This window comes from Homo sapiens, chromosome 19 (assembly GCF_000001405.40).
Source record: "Homo sapiens chromosome 19, GRCh38.p14 Primary Assembly".
NCBI classification, from domain to species: Eukaryota; Metazoa; Chordata; class Mammalia; order Primates; family Hominidae; genus Homo; species Homo sapiens.
The window spans coordinates 51,570,816-51,594,934 of record NC_000019.10 but is presented as its reverse complement, the minus strand read 5'-3'; the positions used below and the strand labels follow the sequence as shown (position 1 = coordinate 51,594,934).

Below are 24,119 nucleotides of genomic sequence, written 5' to 3'. Positions count from 1 at the left end.
CTGTGTTGTAACCAGGACAGAGGAGGGTGCACTCGCACTGCACCCAGGTTGAAGGGCGAGAGTGAGAAGGTGTCAGGCTGGGCCGCAGAATCCAAAGCGGGTCAGCAGGTACAACAGCTGCTTAGAGCACTCCCACCCGGAGAGAGGGATTGAGAGATCACGGAAAAGGGTGCCATCTTTCCAGGGACGCCTACCAGAACGCGGGGGAGAGAAATACAGAGACCCTCAACTCCGCCACGTCATCGCGACAAAGGGCCAGGACCGGCCGGCCGCGGGATGGGCGCTCACCTGGGCAGAACTGGAGCTGGAAGGGCCAACCTCCAAAGAAACGAGGAGCGGGCGGAAGGACTACGACTCCCGGAAGGCTTTGGGCCCATCCGCCTACGACTCCCAGGTGCCCCTGCGTTGCGTCGTCCCGAAACACTTGCGGCTCTCGGACAAACTGGGCCTACAGTTCCCAGAGATCCTCGCGGCAGCGCTGCGCATTCTGCGCACGCCTCCCAGAGTGTACTAGGCCGGTCCGGCCCGCTTCCCGTCTGCGCCTGCGCAAGCACAATAGCCGTGCCAGAATTCTCTGCCAGCTGCTGTGCACTGCTGTCAGTGCAAAGATGGGATGGACTTTTTTTTCAGATTTTCTGCTGTTGTGGGAGTATGGCAAGAGTTTGAGGGGGCGGAGAAAGAGATTGGGAATGTGAAAAGGGAAGATAGCACCTGCGCTAAGCACATTCCTAGGATTGGGCCGCGTCTCGGGGATGCAGAGTGGGCTCTTCGGCGCGCCCTGCAGCCATGGGAGTGGACGCCTGCCCAGGCCGAAGGGCAAGGACTTGCGGGGTGGGGTCTCTGTGCATGCGCGGAGCTGAAAGGGAGCGTTTTGCAGATCTCCACGCGTGCGCAACTCTCGGGACGTGGACGCGGTGAACAGTTACGCACAATCGTCTTTCTGACACAAACACACCCTGCCAGGTGGAAGCCAGGATGGAGGGCAGGTGAGACCCGTAAGGCAAGATCCCAAAACCAAGGAACGGAGCACTCTCCCCGCTTGCTCCCCAGATCCAAGCCCTCCACTTCCTTCCAATGCCCCCCTTCCCGAAACTGCTCCCTCCTGTATATTCTGAGATCTTATCACTATTCCCGTGAGGCCCTTGATAAGGAGGATTGAGAGTGAAGGGTGATGGGAGACACGCCTTGGGCGTCTTCTGTCCACCTCAAGGATTGAACTTTGGTAACTGGAACTCATTCATTTGTTAATCTGTGTGCTAGGCCCTTTGACCCGCTGGCCAGATGCACCGGGACACAGGTGTATTCAGCCTGGTCCAGAGATAAGGATGATAAATCTTAATGTAAAGGTATCAGATGTTAAGGGCTGCAGGAGCCCAGAGGTTACAAGTGCTGCAAGCCAGAACATGGGGAAACAACAGCAATTAAGCCGTTAGCTTGTGCCTTGGAGGGGTGTTTGCCCTGCACCCCACTCACTACCTGAAGATAAATGGCTTCTCCAACGTGTAGTGGGGTTGGGATGATGAGGATGACATCACTGCCAGGTGGGAGGCAGGAGCTGCAGGTCCTGACATGATGAGGCAGGTATGGGCCGCCCTGGGCTGAGGGGGACATGGGCTACCCTGGACTGGAGGGCTGGGCTGTGGCATGGGGACCCTGTCAGAGACAGGTGTTTGGCCTCCATGCCTTCCTGTGTCTCTGGAAGGGTGAAACTAAGCGGGATGCTCCTCTCCCAGCCCCACCTGCTTTTCAGAGGCTACCATATGCTGGAGGGGGAAGATCCTGGCCACAAGCAGAGGCCCTGGAGGTGAATCAGTGTTGGAAGTGGGGTGGTTGGTTCTGGGTCCTCCCTGAGGCTCACATGGCTGCCCCTCCCCATCCTCCAGGCCTCGCCTTCTGTCCCGGATCCGCCAATCCTCCGATCCCTGGATCCTCTGATGATGGCATCAACTGTCTGGGCTACAGGTTGCTCTCCAAAGAGTGGCTGCCCCTCTACACCAACCTCACTGTGGACATAACTTCCAAGCCTCAGGAGACCCAGTGCAAAGCTGAGGGGTATCTTATCTGGAAGCCAGAAAGAGCCCCTGAGGCCAAGGTCACAGGGAAGCCCTCCCACTCACCCCACCTGGTTTCTTTTAAAAGTAGAGTTTATTTTATCTCCTTTCTGCCATCCCTAATTCCTTCCTTCCATCTGTCCATCCATCTTCTTTCCCCTCCCTCCCTTCCTCCCTTCTCCTTCTCCTCCTCCCCACACCTGCTTCTTTTCTCTTTCTTTCAACTATGTCCAGAAGGTCCTTCTTAACAAACACTAATTAGTACAGGGAAAGGTCTCTTTAAGTGAATGCATTTAAAATAGGGAGTCCACCTTTGTGGTAAATAGTGTGCACGAGGTGAGTCTGGATCAGGACTTCACACTTGATAACGGAATTCAATTTCTCAAAATACCTTTATTTCAGATTTAATGAAATTCCATGTTTGTTGAATCATTAAGAACGAGCATTTGTGTTGTACTCATGGTGGACAGCCACCATTCTAATGCTTGACTTTACATAATTAACGCATGTAATCTGCAAAGGAGCCACAAGGCGAGATCTATTATTATTCCCATTGTGCTGCTGGAGAAATTAAGGCAGAGAGGTTAAGTTGCTTGCCACCAAACTAGCGAGGGGCAGAGCTGGGATGTGTAGCATCCAGGTAGGTTGGCTCCAGAGCCCATGAGCCTAACTACTACTGTGCCCAACCTTTGTGCCAATCGCCACAACAGTCAAAGGATGGATCAAGTACTGGTTTTGGGGGTGGGGGCAGGGGACTCTGGGCAGTATGTTTTCTGATCACATCACATGACAGTAGGACATTCTTCATTTCACCATGGCTTTCACTGCCCAACAATAAAAAGGTCATGGGCACTTTGGGAGGCCGAGGGGGGGGGATCACGAGGTCAGGAGATCGAGACCATCCTGGCCAACACGGTGAAACCCCGTCTCTACTAAAAATACAAAAAATTAGCCAGGCATGGTGGTGGGCGCCTGTAGTCCCAGCTACTCGGGAGGCTGAGGCAGGAGAATGGCGTGAACCCGGGAGGCGGAGCTTGCAGTGAGCTGAGATCGTGCCACTGCACTCCAGAGCCTGGGCGACAGAGCGAGACTCCATCTCACAAGAAAAAAAAAAAAAAGGTCATGAGGAGGTAAAGTAGTACAATGGTTGAGAGTTAAAACACTGGCATCAGATAGCTTGGTTCAAATCCAGGCTTTTCTTGTTCCTAGATTTTCGGTCTTGAGTTTACGTCAAATTCTCTAAGCCTGTTTCCTCATCTCTAAAATGGGGTTTATGAGGTTAGATTATTTCCTACAATGGCTGTGAGGAATAAACGAGTTAGTTCATACAAGCTGCCTAGAATAGTAGCTTCTCCCTCTGGAAACTCAAAACTCTTGACCTCTCATCTCATGATGAGGCCATTGGACTAACATTTATTCATCTCTTAGTTCTCTGAGCCAACAGATCTTTTCACAGATCTGTGAGCATGCCCTCATGTGACTGAAAACTTTAGATAGCTCCCTGGGACCCATCAATTCCAAAGCTAATCACCCAACCAAACTCCAGATTCCTCCGTCTATTATCCCACAGGCATTGAGTACAGACTGGCTTGTCCCAGCGCTTGGTACTGAGAGGAAAGAAAAAATAGTATGAGACAGAGGCTGGGAGGGAGGTGAGCACTCTAGACAGAGGGGGTTGCGAGGTAGGGAGGAAACTAAGTTGTTAAAGCCAACAGGCCCCGGAAGTGGCACGAGGTCAGAGGTGTGGGATGGCCAGGGAACGAGCAGCTTTCTGGAAGTGGGGAGGAAGGGCTTGCCCTGAGGGGGACAGTTAGGGAGGCCCACGTGAGGAGTGAACATGTGGCTGGAGATGAGGACCCAGAGTGATCCCCCCAGGTGATGCTTAGGAACAGGGAAAGCCCAGATCTGAGAAGGGAGGCACATCCTGAGGGGTCTTTGGAACCAGTGTGTCTACACTGTGGGCTCAAGTTTTTAACACACTTGTCCTAGGGCCCTGCCACCTTCCTCCCTGAAACTGGTCAGGGTGCCACTCCCAGGACCCAGGTGCACACTATTTCCACCCCTCACCACCATGGAGAGGCCTCTGCAGCCTTTCCACCCCACACCAGTCATCTACGGCCGGCCAGCCCTTGTACCTGGACTCCCCAGGTGAGACTCTTCCACCTTTCTCAGGAGGTGGGACATGGTCACTGATACTACGCCCCTGGACAGGGAGAGGCCAGTGAGACACAGAACAGATTTGCTCTCCAGGGCCCAGCACAGGCTCCTGCATGTGCAGTCACCTTGTTTTAGACACAGCCTGAGGTCTGTGCTGGTTCCTGACCAGCTGTGTGGGCCCCTATCAACCTTGAAGGGGTATGGAGACTAAAGCCATGGGTGCCCATCTCTAACACCCTTCTGGAAAAGACTTCCAGCTGACAGAAATCTCCCACCACAGTCCCACACCCAGCACAAGGGAACCAGGCAGGCTCAGGGATACGAGGCCCGCTAAAATTCATCAGCACTTGGTCTGTCCATGCAGTTCCAAGGGTTTAACACACACACACTTCTCACACCAAATGCATGGGGGTAGGGTACTATCATCATCTCCCTTTTGTAGATGAGAAAACCAGAATAGATGAGACCAAATAACTTGCTCAGCAGATGCAGAGGGTAGAGAGTGGAGCCAGGAATCAAATGCAGGAACCTGGCTCCTGGGCCTGTGCACTTAAAAGATTATGCTGGTCTGCTTCTCGGAAGTATTGATAACAGTTCCCTCTCCGTTTTTTAGCAAAAAATGTGTGTGGGGAGGAAATAAGTAATCAAAACTGTGGGAATGGCTAAATAAATTATGGCAGGTCAACCTCATAGAATACACGTGTGTACAATCCATCATGGATTGTAGAATGAAAAAAATACCATCCACACACGTAAGAGATCTGAGTTTTATAAATCAATGAAAGAGTACTTACACAGGTATATGATGATGAACATAGTAATATGTGTGTATGTGTGTGTGTTTGTGTGTGTATCATGTGCTGGCAAACATTTTCTGTAAAGAGCCAGAGAGTAGATATTTTCAGTTTCCAGCTTGGGGGCTATTTGATCTCCGCCAAAACTACTCAATTCTGCCAGTGCAGCACAAAAGAAGCCCAGACAATACATGTCCAAATGAACATGGCTGTGTTCCAATAAAACTTTATTTTAAAAAAACAGTTGGGAGGCCATATTTGGCCAATGGCCACAGTTTGTTGACTCCTGGTGTAAAAATATGAACGAGACTAATGGTTGGCACTAATTATGGAGAGGCTCACTATAGATGGTGGAGATGGAAAGGGGGGGCAAGCTGAGCTAATCCTAAAAGAAGAGAAAATCTGTAATATAAAGATCAGTAAACATTATAGAATCTCATTTATGCATTTACCAAAAATGCACATTCATGTGTATGTATAATAAAGGAGTTAATCATTGTTGATACAACCTCATTATATAAATATTCAATAGGGAATAATTTTTATAAAAACAATTAGATTAGATTCTCTTAAAAAATAACTCATCTGCTTACATCTCCTGCTATGCAGTGAATTCTGCAGCAAACCCCACTGCACTGAGGGCATACATACATACATACATACGCATACATACACATATGCTGACCAGACCATATACATATGTCTGCATATGCATATATATACATACATAGATACAGAAATATACGTACATACAGGTTGGGTATTCCTAATCTGAAAACCCAAAATCTGAAACTTTTTGAACTCTAACATGACGCTCAAAGGAAATGCTAATTGGAGCATTTAATCTTGGATTTTCAGATTAGGGATGCTCAACCAATAAATATAATGCAAATATTCCAAAATCTGTAAGTATCTGAAATCCAAAATGCTTCTGATCCCAGGCATTTTGGAGAAGGGATACTCAACCTGTATATAATAATATGCTTATATATTATATATATGCTTATATACATAAGGCGCACACACACACATAAAATATTGTCCTATCATGACTGTGTTGGCACTTTAAAAATATTGATATCCCACAATAAACAGGGTTATCATTGATATAATTTCCCACATATTTTACTATAAATAATCGAGTAACAACCTGTCTTGTACCATTCTTTACAGAAAGGCTTTTCTCAATGCGTTAGTCAGGGTTTCTTCCCGGGGAGAAAATTTATAATCCTTAATGAGGCCAGTACTCAGAAGGACATTTCTGCTTACTCTTTTCTCTGTAATTGCCCTCACTAAAATAAAGCATGACTTTTTTATCATGTGTTCACACATGCAGTGCATCCCTAGAGTTTTTCTGAAGCATGAATTCAATAACATATAATTAGACCTGATTCTGAGAAGATTTTCTCTTCTTCAAGAAACTCGGAGTATATTTCATTTATGAATATGCTGATGCACTAGGAATTCATTGCTTGGTAAAGCCTTTCACAGAATAACTGCATTTGTAAGATTTGTCTCTGGTATGAGTTGTTTGGTGTTTATTGAAGTTTGACCTGTTGTTGAAGGCCTTTCCACATTCAGAACACACATAAGGTCTTTCTCCCGTGTGAATTCGCTGATGCACCTTGAGTTGTGGTTTCTTACTGAACGATTTCCCACAGTCAAGGCATTCATAGGGTTTCTCTCCCATGTGAGTTCTTTGATGGGTAATCAACTCTGATTTCTGGACAAAAGCCTTCCCACATTTGTAACAGACAAAAGGCCTCTCTCTAGTGTGAGTTATTTGATGTTTATGGAAATTTGACCTGCCGTTGAAGGCCTTCCCACATTCAGTGCACACATAGGGTTTCTCACCCGTGTGAATTCGCTGATGCTCTTTGAATTGAGACTTAGAAGTGAAGGCTTTCCCACATTCACTGCATTTGTAAGGCTTCTCTCCGGTGTGAATTCTCTGATGCATGCTGAGTATTGACTTCTGGTTGAAGGCTTTCCCGCATTCACTGCATACATGGTGTCTTTCTCCAGTATGAATTTTCTGGTGTATATTCAGGTGTGACTTTTGGGTGAAGGTTTTTCCACAGTCACTGCATTCATAAGGTTTCTCCCCTGTATGAATTCGATGATGTATATCAAGCTGTGACTTGGAAATGAAGGATTTCCCACAGTTGTGGCACTGATAAGGTTTTTCTCCTGTGTGGCTTCTTTGATGGACAATCAGGTGTGCCTTCTGGATGAAGGCCTGCCCGCATTCGATACACACATAGGACTTCTGCCCTGAGTGGATTCTCTGGTGCAAGCTGAGTGTTGACTTCTGGGTAAAGGCTTTCCCACATTCACTGCATGCATACTGTCTCTCACCAGTATGAATTTTCTGATGTATAATGAGGGTTGAGTTTTGGGAGAAGCCTTTGCCACATTCACTGCATTCATAGAGTTTTTCTCTACTGTGAGTTCTCTGATGTCTGAAGAGAGATAACATCTGGAAAAAGGCTTTTCCACAGTCATGGCATTTATAGGGCTTCTTTCTAGTGTGTGTTTTCTGGTGCGTAAGCAATTCTGATCTCTGAATAAAGACCTTCCCACATTCCTTGCATATACAGGGTATATCACCTGTATGATCTGTCAGATATACACTGAGTTTTAGTTGTGGCATGAAGGCTTTTCCACATTTGCCACATTCATGGAGGTTTCCTACACTATGAATTCTCTGTTGGGCAAAGAGGTGTGACTTCTGGGTGAAGCTCCCCCCACATTCAGAACATCCATCTGGTTTCTTCTGAGTATGAATTTGATGTTGCTTGAGTGACTGTTTATGGCCACAGACTTTTCTACACTGGTTACCTTTGCAAAATGTCTCTCCTGTATGAATATTCTTGCTGCAGGCATCAGAAGAGCTATGGCTGAATAGCTGACCAGACCCAACAACGTCATCAAGCTGTTCTGTGTCATTGCTTTCATTCTGACCGTTCACTTCTAGGTTCAGCTTCAAACTTTCTGTAAATAAGCAACATTTCTGAGGTTGTTTCTGTGAAGAAGCAAGGTGGGGCCTCGTGCGAATCATTTTCCCAGGGTCCTTATATTCACAATTGCTTTCTGTGTTCAATGTTTTCTTGTTGAAGAAAGCACTGTGACTCATGGGTTGAATTTGATTTTGCTCATCTTTCTTTGTGCGGTCAGCATCCAGCCTCAGTTCTTCTAAAATGGAACACCATGAACCATCTCTTGTGAACTCACCTACCATATCCTTTTGAAATGAAGCTTTCTTAGAAATCTCCTTTTGTGGGATTTCAAGCCCAAACTCCCTTTCTAAAAGGAGAAAGAGAAGATGAAATAGACACAATGAACAAGAAAGAGGAGAAACTGCATGAAGCTGATTGACACAGAACACAAGGAAATTGCTGAGTCATGTAATAATGCTGCTAATGATGCTGACAATGAGCAGAAACACAGAGCCCTTATTACATGATGAGCATTTATCTACATAGCACTTAGCATGTGCCAGGCAGTGGCCTACATGGTGCACACATACTCATTTAATCTGCATAATAACCTCAGGAGGTAGCGATGATGGGTGTTCCTGTTTTACAAAGAAAAGGAAGCACATAATGGTTATGTAATTGGCCAAGATCACTTTGCTAATCTGTGGGGATTAGATTTCAACAACCTGAGGACACTTATGCAAGTGGTCTAGACACCCAGATCTAGTAGGATGAGTAGGATAAAACAGACAAGTGTTGCAGGGCAACATGTGTGGGCAGCCAAGGCTTGAAGGAGGGGGCTCAGTGTGTAGGTCTTCATTAACTTTCAGAGATGAATCCTCACCAATCTGCCTGCTTTATCTTACTTGTTAGAAACAATGCCAAGTCCATCAGCCCTGTATATCCTTCTGAAAACTATTAAAGCTTCACCTATCTTGACATGGCCAACCAGTGAAAGAATGACTATGCCTCAACTCTCCTATGCCTCAACTCTCCATGAAGCTACAATTTTTTTTTCTTGAACTTAGGAATATACCCATATCCCCAGAAATATATTCTAAAAGACTGGACAAGCAAGCTGTTCCCCAGAATTTGTTTCACCCTTGTTCCATTGAAATTAATTGTTCTTTGTTAGAACTTTTGGCTTTATGCTATCAAATATGCCTTTTTTAGTTTAGTTTTTTGTTTTGTTTTGTTTTTTTGCCAAGAATAAGAGTCCCTGATCATCCTGTGCACTTTACTAGTATACTGCACAAAACACAGCAGGTTCTCAATAAAAATAATAGTTACTAAATTTTACTATTACTTTTTCTACCAGATTTTAATACTGAGTATGAACATCACATGTAGTTTCTTTTCGCTTTCAGTCACTTAAACTGTATCCCAGACTCTTGTCCTATCAAAAAAACTCAATCATCTTTCATTCTTTTTTTAAAAAAAGGACACTTTTAATCTTTATTGTTAACTTTTTCTTATTGTAGCAAAAGTGCATAATATTACATTTACCATCTTGCCCATTTTGTATTGTACAGTTCAGTAGTGCTACCTGTATTCACCCTGTTGTGCAATGGATCTCCAAAACTTTTACATCTTGCAAAACTGAAATGCTGTATCCATTAAACAATTTCCCTTTTCCCCCATCCCTCATTCTCTGGCAGCCACAATCTTATTCTGTCTCTATGAATTGACTACTTAAAGTACCTCATACAGGTAGAATGATACATTTGGATTTTTTGTGTCTGGCTTATTCACTTAGCATCATGATAAGATTCATCCGCACTGCAACATGTTTCATAATTCCTCTTCCTTTTTAAGGCTGAATAATATTTCATTGTATGTATAGACCACATTTTGTTTACCAATTCATTGGTCAATGGACAATTCCACTTTTTGGATATTGTGAATAGTGCTGCTATGAACAAGAGTGTACAAACAGCTGTTTGGGTCCTTGCTTTCAATTCTTGTGGGTATCTACCCAGAAGTGGAGTTGCTGGATCATATGGTAATTTTATGTTTAATTTTTGAGAAATCATCATCCTGTTTTCCATAGGACTACACCATTTTACATTCCCACTAGTAATACACAAGGATTCCAGTTTCTCTATATCCTTGCCAACACTTGTTATTCTGTTTTTTTAATTGTAGCCATTCTAATGGATGTAAAGGGATATCACCCAGTGGTTTTGATTTGCATTTCCCACATAATTAGTGAAGTTGAGCATTTTTTCCTATTATTGGCCACTTGTATATCATCTTTGAAGACATGTCTATTCACATCCTTTTCCCACTTATTAAAATAGGTTGTTTTCTATTTCATTTTTCACTCTTAAATAGCAATTTTACCCATATACAGGTGGTCATTTATTCTGGCAATCTTCCACTGTGTCCCCAGGCAGCGATCTGAAACATTTTTAACTTCTCACTTTATTCAGGTCATAAAAATCTTGCTGAACCTGGTAACACTTAAATTACTGCCCAAAATGTTCAATGTAAACTATCAGAACTGTACTGAAAAGCTTTTCCACAACTCTCCAACACAGCCTAACAATGTCGATTGCAAAAAAGAAGTCCAATTTATTCTCAAATCCAAGCACACTCTCATGTCCTCTATTCCCATTAAGCTTGCTTCATCTGCTTCTTTGTTTCAATTCAAAATGGCTTCTTGAACCAGTTATAGGTACTATGCCCTTAAAATTAATTCCCAATGTCACTCCACCTCTAGGCTGACATCATTTTTCTGAACTTCACCAGCATTTGCTATCCATGCTTCCCATGTTGATACACTTACTTTTTGAGTAGCCTTCCATGAAATAGACATGATTGATGCACAAAGGCTAATACTTTTAACATTTAATGCCATTGTCCTCTCCATCCAAATACAATCTCCGTTCTTTTGAATTTATCTCAGCAAATATTTAAAGCATCCTTTTAAAATACTGTGAAATATTCTTTTCTGCCCATTTTCAGAAAATCAGTAATTTCTGTATCCTAAATACAAAAATCCTAATCCTATATCTTAAATACAATGGTTTCCTCATGCTAAACATTGATATAATGAAGATTAAGAAAGTACAAAGTAATCAGCAGAGTGTATGCAAAGTGAATCATTCTATGGAGTAGACATTAAACAACATACAAAAACAATGGAGCAGAGCATGAGTGATGAAAACTATTCAGGTATATTTTTAAATTGGAAATATGTGGCCATGAGGACAATATCACTGAAAAGAATTTGTTAATCCTACACAGTAGGAAATAGAACTGCCTGTTTTTATCATATCTACTGAGGAAAAAAGAAACAAAATAGCCATGTTTGGGGTCATAAAATCTGTCAGTATCTTGACTAAACTCAAAAACCTGAAATCAACATATCTCACTGGGAACAAAATTGTCTAAATATGAGAAAATGGGGATCTAGTTTGTTGTAATACCACTGGGATTAAGAAAAAGGGTCACTTTTTTCTTAATTAAAACAAGAAAAACTGGTAAGAATTCCAAAGTAATAAATTAAATTAGAGGACTGTGTTTCTGAGCCCAGAAACAGAAAAATCTCACAAAATTTATCAGGTGAGAATTCCTTATTTGGATGATGATGATTCCAATTTCTGATCTCCCAAAATTAAGGAAGTGAGTCATCTCATGGGAACTGTCCTCCGTGGAGCTAAGTAAGGTAGCAGAACACAGTTTAAGCACAGGGACTAGAGGTACTGATATATAAATCATTAGAATAAAAATATGAGGACTAAGAGTTCAGAATGGATGGGTCCTTTAAGTCAATTCCTGTGGGAAAAGATGCCCATAGCCGGGCACGGTGGCTCACGCCTGTAATCTCAGCACTTTGGGAGGCCAAGCCAGGCGGAACACCTGAGGTCGGGAGTTCGAGACCAGCCTGACCAACAAGGAGAAACCCCGTCTCTACTAGAAATACAAAATTAGCCGGGCATGGTGGTGCATGCCTGTAATCACAGCTACTTGGGAGGCTGAGGCAGGAGAATCACTCAAACCTGGGAGGCGGAGGTTGCGGTGAGCCAAGATCGTGCCATTGCACTCCAGCCTGGGCAACAAGAGTGAAACTCTGCCTCAAAAAAAAGAAAAGATGCCCATATGGAAGAACAGGGCCCCAAGCTAGAGGTGCCACAACTGGGAGGAAAAGAAGACAGCAGATCCAGCAAAGAAAAGAAAATAAATAAAATTAGGGGCAAAAAAACTGGAAAAAAAAGGCAGAAAACTCCATGGACGTAAAGAGATAAGCGGTAAGAAAATGCAACAAACAAATGAAAAAGCCAATCAGATAACAGATAAGATGAGAGGCTCTCACCATTCAGTTATTAGAAAAATAACACTTAAGCAATGAAACAGGCTGGGTGCGGTGGCTCACGCCTATAATTCCAGCACTTTGGGAGGCCGAGGTGGGCAGATCACAAGGTCAGGAGATCGAGACCATCCTGGCTAACAGGGTGAAACCCTGTCTCTACTAAAAATACAAAAAATTAGCCGAGTGTGGTGGCGGGTGCCTGTAGTCCCAGCTACTCGGGAGGCTGAGGCAGGAGAATCACTTGAACCCAGGAGGCAGAGGTTGCAGTAAGCCAAGATCGTGCCACTGCACCCTAGCCTAGGTGACAGAGTGAGACTCTGTCTCAAAAAAACCAAAACCAAAAACAAAAAAAAATGAAACAGCCCTTTCACCTATCAGTAGGGCTATAAATTCACCAATTTTGTTAATGCCAAGTGTTAGCAAGCAAGATGTGCAAATGCAAATCCTTGTGCACTGCACATGGGGAGTGTGAACTGGTGCAGCCCATCAGAAGAGCAATATGGTTGATTTAGTCAAGTATACTTATCTCCAGGACCAGGCAATCCCATTCCTGAGTATTCACCAATGGAAAATTCTTAAGGCAGCCCCTATAGGACATTTAACATTTATAGCACATTTACAGTGTTTGATGGGAAACTGGGAGTAGGAGGCAATCTACGGGCCATCACTGGGGGAATGGAGGGAATAGAAAAGTATGGTAGACTGGTAATGGTTCCCTGCAAAGATATCTACATTTGCCCGGGTACAACTTACTCACCTTGACACCTCTGATGTGAGACTTCAGCCTCCTCCACACGCGGCTCCTTTTCTTTTAGCATTCTGAAGATGACCTCTGGGTTGGGAATGTGATACCCTGTTAATTAGAAAGGATACTGGATTTGGGTGTAGCTTCTTCAGTTTTAGAGGCCATTCAATGAAGCTTTACACTGGCTCATTAGAAAAGTCAACATTTTCCACTGGGCACAAAATAATACTAGAAGGTGCCCAAAAGAAACAAACAATCCAGGACAAACCGATAAAAGAGTCATGACATACTTTGATATCCCACTGCGTTCTGCAATGAGGAGGAAGGAAATCTCCTCAACAGGATCCAGCCAAGATTCCCAGGTCAGTTGTGCTCACCCACTGCGAAGAGATGGCTATAGAGCTCCAGCATCACATCCCGGTACAGGCATCTCTGGGCAGGGTCCAGTTGCTGCCACTCCTCCCTGCTGAAGTCCACGGTCACGTCCTCAAATGACACTGATGCCTGTAACAGTGTACCCCAGCTCACTGTGAATTAGGTCATCATTGGCGAGTGGGGATGGCACATATAGGAGGAACATGCTTTTAATGATTTTCACCACGATCCATCACAGAGGCTTCCCACCAAACACCTATTTCACATTTTTAGGGATTTAAAAAAAAATAAGAGAAATATCCTCCATCCACTGTACACCTACATTCATTCATTCATTTTTTTTTTTCAAAAATGAGGCCAGAAATGGGTTCCCTCTAAGTCCTTTAGCTAATTTAGGAATAACCAGCATGATGTTGACGAAGCAACTACATGTGAGGCTGTAGTTGAGCTGGGTTCTGGTGCTCAACACAGAATTACATAAGCTTCTACTCTTGCAGCAACTCAGAGACTTGGAAGACATGTAAATACAAAAGCTCAACTACAGGGTTAAAAAGGGAACATGGTAGAAATATATGCAGAGGACACTGTTGGGGAAGGGCAAATTAGGGAAAGGCAAATTCTACCTAGGAGTAGAAGGTAATGCTACTTAGAGTTGGTGAAGCTTACGCTGGAAGTAAGAACTGTGATGCAGGATGTGTGAAGGAAATCATTTTCCAGAAAAGAGCATGAATAAAACTAGAGAGGTAGGAAAACACTGTGAATTCAGGGAGAAGCAGACAGCTCTGTGTAAGATAAGAGGCGACTATGTCATGTTTGGAAGGTGGTTACCATCCAAGCTCCAAAGAAGTGGGCTGGTGCCTCAATATATAATGGGTATGGATTATTTATTTTAATGAACGGACTGCCATTTCAGGATTTTAAGTGCAGGGAAGAGATATGATCATATAATATTTCAACAAGATGATCTCTCCTGTAATAACTAATATTAGGTTAATGAAAGGACTGATGATGGAAAGATCTTCATTACAGAAGTACTGCAGATGATAAATGCAGCCTGAAGGACAAAACAAAAATGTCACTGTTACTGATCACCAATGACTGCTAAAACCATATGAAAGACTGATGGGTCTTTATAATGGAGGAGTAGGCTGACAATATCTGAACCCAATCATCAATTTTATCACAAGGAGAGAGATAACCAGATATTAAAGTGCACCTAATATGATGCAAAATAAAAAAATAAAAGTAGAGAGGTAGGAAAATACGTGGTGTGCAAACTATTAAGTATCATTTCCAAAAACAAAGAAATCCAAGTGGACTCTGATCAAGCCTCTAGAGGAGAGCCATCCAATGGAAATAAAACATGAACCGTGAATGTGAGCCACACATATAACTTAAAATTGTCTAGTAGCCATGTTTAAAAGACAGATAAAATCAATTTAATGATATTTTTACTTAATCCATTATATTCAAAACATTATCATTTCTATATGTAATATTTTAATATTACATATATTAAAACATTCTATATTCTATATATTGAATATTCTATATTCAATATTTTAAAAATCATCGAGATGAGATGCTTTACATTCTGTTTTCATACTAAGTTTTCAGAAGTCAGCATATATTTTATACTTCAAGCACATCTCAGGGTGAACCAGCCGCATTCAAGTGCTCAATAGCTACATGTGGTGAGTGGCTACCATACTGGACAGCACAGGTCTACATTTAAATACCAGTTCAGAACAGATGTTGGGCATATACCCAGGGGTGGAATTCTGGGTCATGGGAAAAACATGCTCGCCTTTAGTAGAAAATTAGAAATCATTTTCCAAATTGGTTGTACCAATTTATATGCTTACCAGCAGCACACAAAATCCTTCTGGTTGCTCTGTATCCTCACCTACATTTGGTATTATCAGTGTTGGTAACTGTATGCATTTTGGTACAGGCATGGGAGTTACACTGGCAATTCCCAGATGACTAATGAAGCTGAGCATCTTCCCATGTTTACCAGCCTATTCAAGCAAGTCTCTTCTTCAGTTTTCTACTGGGTTAAAAAACACTTTTCCTCAAAAAAAAAAAATTTTTTTTGGGAGATAGAATCTCACTCTGTTGCCCAAGCTGGATTGCAGTGGCACGAGCATGGCTCACTGCAGCCTCTGCCTCTCAGACTCAAGCGATCCTCCTGCCTCAGCTTCCCAAGTAGCTGGGACCACAGGCGTGCACTACCATGTCCAGCTTTTTTTTTTTTTTTTTTTTTTTGAGATGGAGTCTACTCTGTCACTAAGGCTGGAGTGCACTGGCATGCTCTTGGCTCACTGCAGCCTCTGACTCCTGGGTTCAAGCGATTCTCCTGCCTCAGCCTCCCAAGTAGCTGGGATTACAGGTGCCTGCCAACATGCCTGGCTAATTTTTGTATTTTTAGTAGACACGGGGTTTCATTATGTTGGCCAGGCTGGTCTTAAACTCTGGCCTCAAGTGATCGGCCCATCTCTGCCTCCCAAAGTTCTGAGATTACAGGTGTGAGTCACCACACTCAGCCTTAATTTTTGTATTTTTTGTAGAGATGGGGTTTCAGCATGTTGCCCATGCTGGTCTCAAACTCATGAGCTCACACGATCCACCCACCTTGGCCTCCCAAAGTTTTGGGATTACAGGTGTGAGCCACTGCACGTGGCCATTTCTGTGTTTCTGAAGGAGTATCTCATTGTCCTGTAAACCTCTCAGGTCTTTTGTTTTTGTTTTTTGAGACAGGATGTCACTCTGTCACCCAGGATGGAATGCAGTGGTGCAATCACAGCTCACTGCAGCCTCGACCTCCGGGCTCAAGTGATTCTCCCGTGTCAGCCTCCTGAGTAGCTGGGATCACAGGCACACACCACCACACCTAGCTAATTTTTCTATTTTTTGTAAAGATGGGGTCTCCCTATGACGCTCAGGATCGTCTCAAACTCCTGGGCTCAAGCAATCCTCCCATCTTGGCCTCCCAATGTGCTGGGGTTATAGGCATAAGCCACCACGCCCAGCCGTCCTCAACGTTTTATAGGAACCTTTTGTCAGCTGTATGTGTAACAAGAATCTTTTCCCATTCTGGGGCTTGCTTCTTTTTTTTTGAGATGGAGTTTCACTCTTGTTGCCCAGGCTGGAATGCAATGGCATGATCTTGGATCACTGCAACCTCCACCTCCCGGGTTCAGGCGATTCTCCTGCCTCAGCCTCCCAAGTAGCTGGAATTACAGGCACCCGCCACCATGCCTGGCTAATTTTTTGTATTTTTTTAGTAGAGATGGGGTTTCACCATGTTGGCCAGGCTGGTCTCAAACTCCTGACCTCGTGATCAGCCCGCCTCGGCCTCCCAAAGTGCTGGGATTACAGGCGTGAGCCACTGCATCCGGCCTCGTTTTTTAAAATGAAGTAATTAACTTAAAAGTGACGAAAGTAGTTAACTTTGGAAGAAAGTGGTAGTGTTTGGGAGGTAAAGGCAGATGACTAACTATAATTACCTATGTGGAAGAAACCTGGACAAATCAGGGACAAAAGAGAGAGGGGTATGCCAGGTGCGGTGGCTCACGCCTGTAATCCCAGCACTTTGGGAGGCCAAGGCGGGCGGATCACGAGGTCAGGAGATTGAGACCATCCTGGCTAACACGGTGAAACCCCATCTCTACTAAAAATACAAAAAATTAGCTTGGTGTGGTGGCGGGCGCCTTTAGTCCCAGCTACTCGGGAGGCTGAAGCAGGAGAATGGCGTGAACCCGGGAGGCGGAGCTTGCAGTGAGCCAAGATCGTGCCACTGCACTCCAGCCTGGGCGACAGAGTGAGACTCCATCTCAAAAAAAAAAAAAAAAAAGAGAGAGAAAGGAGTATTTTGTAAAAAAATTACTTTTCATGATGTTTTAATTTGTGAATGCTGTGTATTATCTATTCATAAAATTACATTTTAAAATATCTCAAATATCCTTAGGTAAGATAGTTCAATCATTAAACAAAAACATCATGTCATTAAAAGGAGTATTCATATCTAAAAGCTCTTAAAAATTTTTTAAGGCAGTAATGATTATCGGAGGGCTAGAAAATAAAGTTGAGAAATTCTTCCAGAAAGAGGGTCCAAAACCAAAGAAATAGAAAATGACAGAGCATAAAAACCCTTTTAAATGGAGACTAACAGCTTAAAAATAAAGAGTTTCAGGATTTGAGAGCAGAGAGACTATATGTGTGTGGTAAGGAAGTAGTATATGGGGTGTTTTAGGAAGAAAAAAATGATTTCCAACCTATGAACCCAGGCAAAGATCAACTTAGTGTGAGGGTAAATCAAGTCATTTTCCGTGACATCTTTCTATTAAATATGCAAATATATGATCTTTGCTTTTTGGCGTGACATTTTCATATCATTCATTTTCATATCATTTCACTTTCATGTCATGCTCATATATGTAAACCTCTCAGGTCTTTTGTTTTCGTTTTTGTTTTTTGAGACAGGATGTCACTCTGTCACCCAGGATGGAGTGCAGTGGTGCCATCACAGCTCACTGCAGCCTCAACCTCCTGGGTCAAGTGATTCTCCTATTCTTAAGTTTAGTCTCCGTTATCTGAACAGACATGTTCAGATAAGTTCTCACAGGATTTACTGCCGTGTACCGTCCCCAAGAACTCCTAGGGGATGCACTTTCACGAAATGAGAGTAACGGTAAACCGTGGAAGAGAAAGCCAAAGGATTCAAGAAAGGATTCAAGACACAAGGAACTGGACACTTGACAGAGAAAAAAAGAATTCCCAGGTGATGGTGAACACAGCACCATGAGAAGACAGCGTGAGGCGCCAGGAGAACAGCCAGGTCCAATCGCATCAAGACAAAAAAGCAATAGGAAAGGTTTCCTCAAGGAGATGGCATTGACAGCCCCAACCCTCAAGCAAACTGCCTGCCTTCAATCCCAGGCTGGCTGCTTGCTGACTATGTAAACTTGAGCCACTTATTTCATTCTGTGCCTCAGTCTTCTTGTCTGTAAAGGGGGGATAATGGCAGCAGTACCTCGCAAAGTTATGAGGATTAAAACTGTTCCTGAAGGCCGGGTGTGGTGGCTCATGCCTGTAATCCCAGCACTTTGGGAGGCCGAGGCTGGCGGATCACCTGAAGTCAGGAGTTTGAGACCAGCCTGCCCAACATGGTGAAACCCTGTTTCTACTAAAAATATAAAAATTAGCCAGGCGTGGTGGCAAGTGCCTGTAATCCCAGCTACTCAGGAGAGTGAGGCAGGAGAATGGCTTGAACCCAGGAGGAGAGGTTGCAGTGAGCCAAGATCGCGCCATTGCACTCCAGCCTGGGAGACAAGAGCGAAACTCTGTCTCAAAAAAAAAAAAAAACAAAAAAAAAAACTGTCCCTGAAATAGCGAGGGTTTGCAATTACCTAGTAACAAATTCAATTTATGAAGACAGTGTGTACACACTTGGAGAAAATGGTATAATACATTAACATGTATATAGGCAAGTAAATAATCCATAAAATTGTGTGCTCCAGGGAAAAACCGTAAGTTATGCAGGCAGAGAGTTATCAGGGTGTCTATACAGGCAGCTCTGAATATAGTTTACACAGTCATAATCACAAACAAGGAAGATTGACCTGATCAGAATCTGAACCAGTTCTAGAGAAGGATGGGCAAGGAAAGCAGGTGTTGGGGGTGAAAGTATGAGGAAGCGGGTAAAAGCAAACCTTTTAATGACATGTTTCTTAATTAATTAACGTGTTAATTAACAATCCAAGAGGCAGCAATATAAGCATGTCACTAAAAGATTAGGAGGTAAATGCCAAAATAATTAGCTAAAAATGTAAAATGTGATTGCCTGGGAGGAGCTGGAACTTTGGTAAAAATATAGCAAGTGACAGCCCTTTTAAAAGATTACAGGCTTCACAAAACCATCTGATCCTCTTTCCTATGTTCAAACAAAACTAAAACCTACTTTCAAAGGAAAAAGTAACAAAAAGTATTTACAAACATATGCAAAAAGGACCTTAGGTTATTACTGTGTAAGAACTCTCTTGGGACACTGAGGCAGGCGGATCACGAGGTCAGGAGATCAAGACCATCTTGGCTAACATGGTGAAACCTCATCTCTACTAAAAATACAAAAAAATTAGCCAGCAGTGCTGTCAGGCGCCTGTACTCCCAGCTATTCAGGAGGCTAAGGCAGGAGAACGGCGTTAACCCGGGAGGTGCAGCTTGCAGTGAGCAGAGATTGCGCCACTGCACTCCAGCCTGCGCTTCAGAGCGAGACTCCGTCTCAAAAAAAAAAAAAAAAAAAAAAAAACCTCTCTAAAAATCCGGAGGCTAAACCAAACCAAAATATAAATCAAAAGGTAAGAAAAAGTAACTCACTAAAGACAAGTAATTGACCAATAAAATTATGAAAAAAAAGCCTGTTTGTAAACAAAGTAATGCAAATTAAAACACTATACTATCTTTATTTCCATCACATTAGAAAAGATAAAAATAACAAAATAAAAATAGTACTGTCCAGAGCAGAGGGAAATACACACCACAAAGAGAAGATAATGTGCATGGTACTGGGATATACTCTGACATGAATTCAGACACTGATGGAAAATCTGAATTAGCGACAGCAGTATTGATTCAAATGATAAACTGGAAATCAGGTCAAGCAGAAAAAAAATTTCATTGTTAAAAAAGGAAAAAAGCTTATATTGAACATGTGTCCTAAAACGCTAAACTTGAAGATGTTCTGAACACGCAAGTTGACCAACATCAATGCAAATGAGAGAAACGTTTGTGCATCTGCACTGCTGTCACAAAGACTTAGACAATTTCATGTTTTAAACTTGTTTTGTTTTGAGACAGGGTCTCACTCTATTGCCCAGGCTGGAGTGTAGTGTCATGATTGCAGCTCACTGCAACCTTGACCGCCTCAAGCTCAGGTGATCCTCCCACGTCAACGTACTCAGTAGCTGGGACTACAGGTGCATGCCACCACACCTGGCTAATTTTTGTATTTTTGTAGAGTCTCGCCATGTTGCCCAGGCTGGTCTCCAACTCCTGGGCTCAAGTGATCCGCCCGCCTCGGCCTCCCAAAGTGCATGAGCCACTGTGCCCCACCTAAACTTGTATGTTTCAATTTTTCTTTTAAGAACGACTTTTAAATATTTGGGGTATTTACAATTTTGAAAATGATTTATATGTGCAATTTATTTTGTGTTAATGTTCCCTTCTTTTAATACTTTCTATTATCAAATGTTTCTAGCAGGTTGAGATGATTTTAACAGGTTACTGAAATATATAATCTCACAATATATTGGTTCAGGATAATAACACACATATTTATTATACTTTTTTTAAAAAACAGAACATCTCTGTAAATTTGGTTATAAACCCATCACAGAACAATGGTACACTGTTTACTATTATAGTCACATACTATTTAAAGACTTGTAAATAAAGCATCAAGAGATACACAGAATAATTTAGGATTTCAGGAAATCTTGACTATACCAAGAATTCTGATTTCTTGTTACCAAATCCTGACTATTTCTATCTGTGGGCAATCTGGAAACACTGTTTTCCAGCATTTTTTGTTCACCTTTTTAAACAGGAAAAAGTGTTTAAAAGCCTCTTCACATGGTCCTTAAAAGCCTCTTCTCACTCTACCTCCCTGTGACTATTTAAATTACAAAGGAAGGAGATTTTGCCGCACCTTATGAGAACAGAGGAAAAACGGGCCAAACCCCATGGACCAAGCAAGGAATTTGGTGGGGGGGACCACTTGAAATTTTTCAAAGACCCAGTGGTGGATGAAGGAGCAGAACCAGTGCTTAGCAGGAAAGAGTCAGCTTTTCCATCCTATGACTGGGGCTTCTGATCAGACCAGGGACTACAGTTTCTTCTTTCTTGACCCAAGGCCAACCCTCTACTATCCTCTTTTATCAGCCAGTTCATGGTTTCCTCTAGAACACAGATAGCCTATGAATGTGGAAACATCAGCCTCTGTGGTCCTCGCTTGACAGGAGGCTCAAGACTGACTCAGGAGCAGGGAGCCCAGACCTGCTGCATCCTGTGTCTGCCCTCACGTTCTGGAGAACTATCCCCAGGGCTGCCCCTGTTTACCTCGCAAGATCCATCCTGCTTCTCTGGACCCAGGACCTGAGGCTTCTGGGATAAATTCACATCAGCAGGCATCTCCACTCTGGGCTTCTACTCTCGGTCTCTCTTGCTGACAACTCCACTTTTCCCAGGAGCCAGAAGCTGGATAGGTGTTTGGATTTTCCAACCAGGGACACGGCGGAGAGTCGTACTGGGCTATGAAGAGAGATCCTGCAGCCTCAATGATGTGGCCTGACCTGGGGGTTCTGCAGAAGCCTTGGAAAAGCAATGAGTACATGGTCACTCATTCAACATTCACTCCACAAATATTTCCTGAGGGCACTGAGGTGAAGTCACTGTGTCAGACATTGGAGTAGACAAAGTTCAGAAAGCCCAACTCTAGTTATTAGTCAGGGTTAAAAATAAAGACTGAGTCTGGACTAAATGGTGAATTCATTGCAGCTTTGCCACATTTTCACTGTGAGAATATGAAAATATTACTTTAGTTGTAGTTTCCAAAATGAAAATGCAGGTATTTATCACAGATGTTGGGAAACTTAACCAAGATGAAGCTTGTCAAGTCCTCAGTGCCTGCCTGGCACGTGATAAATATGAATTAAAAAAAGAAAGTTGTCAATTTAATTGTCAGCTAAATATCATGGGCATTATCATACCCATTTTGAGGATGAGGATAATGAGGCTGTGTGCTGTTACATAATTTGCCTGAAGGTTACTCAGTCTGTAAATGGAAAAACAGGGAATCAGCCCCACATCTGCCTTGTTCTAAACTGTACACTGTCTCCACTATCTCATGTACCCATACGTGGCCAGCTTCCAGAAACACCATTTCCTCTTTCTGTTGCCTTCATAGAACTCAGGCCGGGAGGTGGCTCTGTCTGGTGTACCTATTCTGAGCTTCTGGACTTTTCAGTCCCCGTCCATAATACACCACACACAGACCAGCCTCTTCTGACTAGAGCTAAAACTTAAAATCACTGTCCCAATCCCCATCTTGACACAGAAAATTTGCAGACATGCATCAGGGCCTCCAGTTACCATTTCTTGCCTGTCCACAATAAGTTGCCCCCACCGCACCTGAATGCAATCACTGACAGGACTGACTTTCAGAAATCCCCAATGAGTGTACTACAGGGCTGCCAGAAAGTTCCAAAATGCCTCCCAGTCACTGACATGGCACAGGCTTCTGAAATCTTTACTGCCCTGATAGCCAAGAAATGTTTCCCAGCGAGCACAATTTTCTGGTTTCCATAAAACGACAAATAATCCCCAACATAGGGGTCCAAATGAAATGCCCCAATAGGAAACCATCATCGATGTGCTCAACTGTCAATTACTGATCCTTACCATGTCCAAGGGACCCAAGAAGAGGCCAACACTGACCCACCCACCAATCCCTGAAGGACCCCAACACTCACTGCCTAGAAAGCAATGCATTCACCCTCACAAATCCCCATCATTGACCCCCTACGCCTCCAGTCAACTGGCTGCCATAGGCTACCCCTGGCAACCCCACTCTACTGATTCCTATAGGTTGCCCATCACTGGTCCCCTGAGAGTGTTACAGTGTGATCCTCAAAGTCCTCCAACCTCTGAAGCTCTTGGCTGCCAATCAATCACTGACTCCCCTAGTCCCACGGACAGTGAATCCCTTCCCTGAACGTCCTCCAGCACCATCCGCAAAGGCGCTCTTAAGATGCACGTTCACTGTCCTCAAGTTAGCAAGTTTCGTGGACCAATATAAAATCCGATATTAAAGTACACTTGGAATTTAAGTCACAAAAATACTACAAGCAGAAAATAAGCAAGAAAAGAGGGAAAATTAACAGGCTAATTATCCAACTAAAATTAGCAAACGCCACTTACCCCACAGCACCCATCACCCACCCCAGAAACCCCTCATCGCTCAGCCAAAACAAGCCCGTCACTCACCTCACAGCCTCGTCTTCAGCCGAGAAATCCCTTTATCACGCACCCCCACCCCCAACAAGCCCCTCATCACTCCCCCAAAGCCAGCCGCCCCTTCCTGACCCTACAGAACCCCCACTGCTAATATTCCCAATCACTTCAGCGTCCAGTAAGCGACATAGGCTTAGATCCACTTAACAACAGAAGCTAAATGGTCGCTCTAGGCCACTTCCGGTTTGGGTTACATTCCCGTTAGGATTTCCGTAGGCGCTGTTGAACCGCGCGCATGCCCACTAACACTTTTGAAGCTACGCTCCGCCAACAGTTATCATGGCGTATAACGGCGTACCTTTATTCCGCGGTTCATTCAACTTCAGAAACTTGGTAGGGAGGACGGCATGGCCGCACCCATACGGATTATGATATTGGAGGCCGCCATCGTCAAAGGGCTTTTATTCCGTACAGCCAAGGACAAATGGAATGTCACAGAGTAAAAGTCTTGGGTCCTACATTGGCAGGGGACCTATTCAATACTTGTGTATATATATTTCTAGGAGAAACTGACATGTATTCTGAAAAATACTTTTTCTCTATATTTTTCCCTCTGATTTAAAGACTTTTTTTTCCTGAATTGCTGAACAACTCACTGTCTTTAATAGCACTTTTGAAAATGTTATCTTTCTG

At 43.4% G+C, this 24,119-nt stretch overlaps 1 protein-coding gene and 1 long non-coding RNA gene across 3 annotated transcripts, besides 7 other annotated features; one reads left to right on the top strand and one right to left on the bottom strand.

Annotated features, from left to right (window-relative positions):
- Positions 148-457: an enhancer, noted in NCBI's record as "active region_15023". NCBI's record gives its function as "activates an Ori minimal core promoter by ATAC-STARR-seq in GM12878 lymphoblastoid cells {active_cell/tissue: GM12878}" and the evidence as "EXISTENCE:reporter gene assay evidence [ECO:0000049][PMID:35858748]".
- Positions 148-839: a biological region, named in NCBI's record as "H3K4me1 hESC enhancer GRCh37_chr19:52097349-52097984".
- Positions 204-839: an enhancer, noted in NCBI's record as "H3K4me1 hESC enhancer chr19:52097349-52097984 (GRCh37/hg19 assembly coordinates)". NCBI's record gives its function as "activates a minimal SCP1, AML or CMV promoter by ChIP-STARR-seq in primed H9 embryonic stem cells {active_cell/tissue: H9 hESC(primed)}" and the evidence as "EXISTENCE:reporter gene assay evidence [ECO:0000049][PMID:30033119]".
- LINC01530 (long intergenic non-protein coding RNA 1530) lies at positions 555-3,152 on the top strand. The gene is made up of 2 exons (NR_034159.1): positions 555-986; positions 1,884-3,152. It is a non-coding gene; the product is annotated as a long intergenic non-protein coding RNA 1530 (long non-coding RNA).
- Positions 840-1,475: an enhancer, noted in NCBI's record as "H3K4me1 hESC enhancer chr19:52096713-52097348 (GRCh37/hg19 assembly coordinates)". NCBI's record gives its function as "activates a minimal SCP1, AML or CMV promoter by ChIP-STARR-seq in primed H9 embryonic stem cells {active_cell/tissue: H9 hESC(primed)}" and the evidence as "EXISTENCE:reporter gene assay evidence [ECO:0000049][PMID:30033119]".
- Positions 1,476-2,111: an enhancer, noted in NCBI's record as "H3K4me1 hESC enhancer chr19:52096077-52096712 (GRCh37/hg19 assembly coordinates)". NCBI's record gives its function as "activates a minimal SCP1, AML or CMV promoter by ChIP-STARR-seq in primed H9 embryonic stem cells {active_cell/tissue: H9 hESC(primed)}" and the evidence as "EXISTENCE:reporter gene assay evidence [ECO:0000049][PMID:30033119]".
- ZNF175 (zinc finger protein 175) lies at positions 2,425-23,652 on the bottom strand. Of its 2 annotated transcripts, NM_007147.4 has the most exons (5): positions 23,460-23,652; positions 21,534-21,785; positions 13,418-13,544; positions 13,053-13,148; positions 2,425-8,308 (listed from the first exon to the last, which is right to left on the bottom strand). In NM_007147.4, the coding sequence occupies exons 2-5, from the start codon at positions 21,603-21,605 to the stop codon at positions 6,468-6,470; spliced, it is 2,136 nt and encodes a 711-aa protein (NP_009078.1). In that variant the 5' UTR covers positions 21,606-21,785; positions 23,460-23,652; the 3' UTR covers positions 2,425-6,467. The 2 variants fall into 2 exon arrangements, 1 of the variants encoding a protein (NP_009078.1); NR_136208.2 differs by lacking the exons at positions 2,425-8,308; positions 13,053-13,148; positions 13,418-13,544 and having other exon boundaries at positions 20,725-21,785.
- Positions 7,043-7,243: a silencer, noted in NCBI's record as "peak3547 fragment used in MPRA reporter construct". NCBI's record gives its function as "represses an SCP1 promoter by STARR-seq MPRAs in K562 erythroleukemia cells {active_cell/tissue: K562}" and the evidence as "EXISTENCE:reporter gene assay evidence [ECO:0000049][PMID:32103011]".
- Positions 23,931-23,990: an enhancer, noted in NCBI's record as "active region_15022". NCBI's record gives its function as "activates an Ori minimal core promoter by ATAC-STARR-seq in GM12878 lymphoblastoid cells {active_cell/tissue: GM12878}" and the evidence as "EXISTENCE:reporter gene assay evidence [ECO:0000049][PMID:35858748]".

Bases quoted from the DNA above. Each gene is read 5' to 3' on its own strand.
- ZNF175 (NM_007147.4), bottom strand. From the start codon at position 21,605: ATGCCTGCTGATGTGAATTTATCCCAGAAGCCTCAGGTCCTGGGTCCA. The intron at 13,545-21,533 runs GTAAACAGGGGC...ACACTGTTACAG, and splicing joins AGCAGGATGGATCTTGCGAG to GCATCAGTGTCATTTGAGGA. The intron at 13,149-13,417 runs GTGAGCACAACT...TCTAATTAACAG, and splicing joins TAGCCATCTCTTCGCAGTGG to GGTATCACATTCCCAACCCA.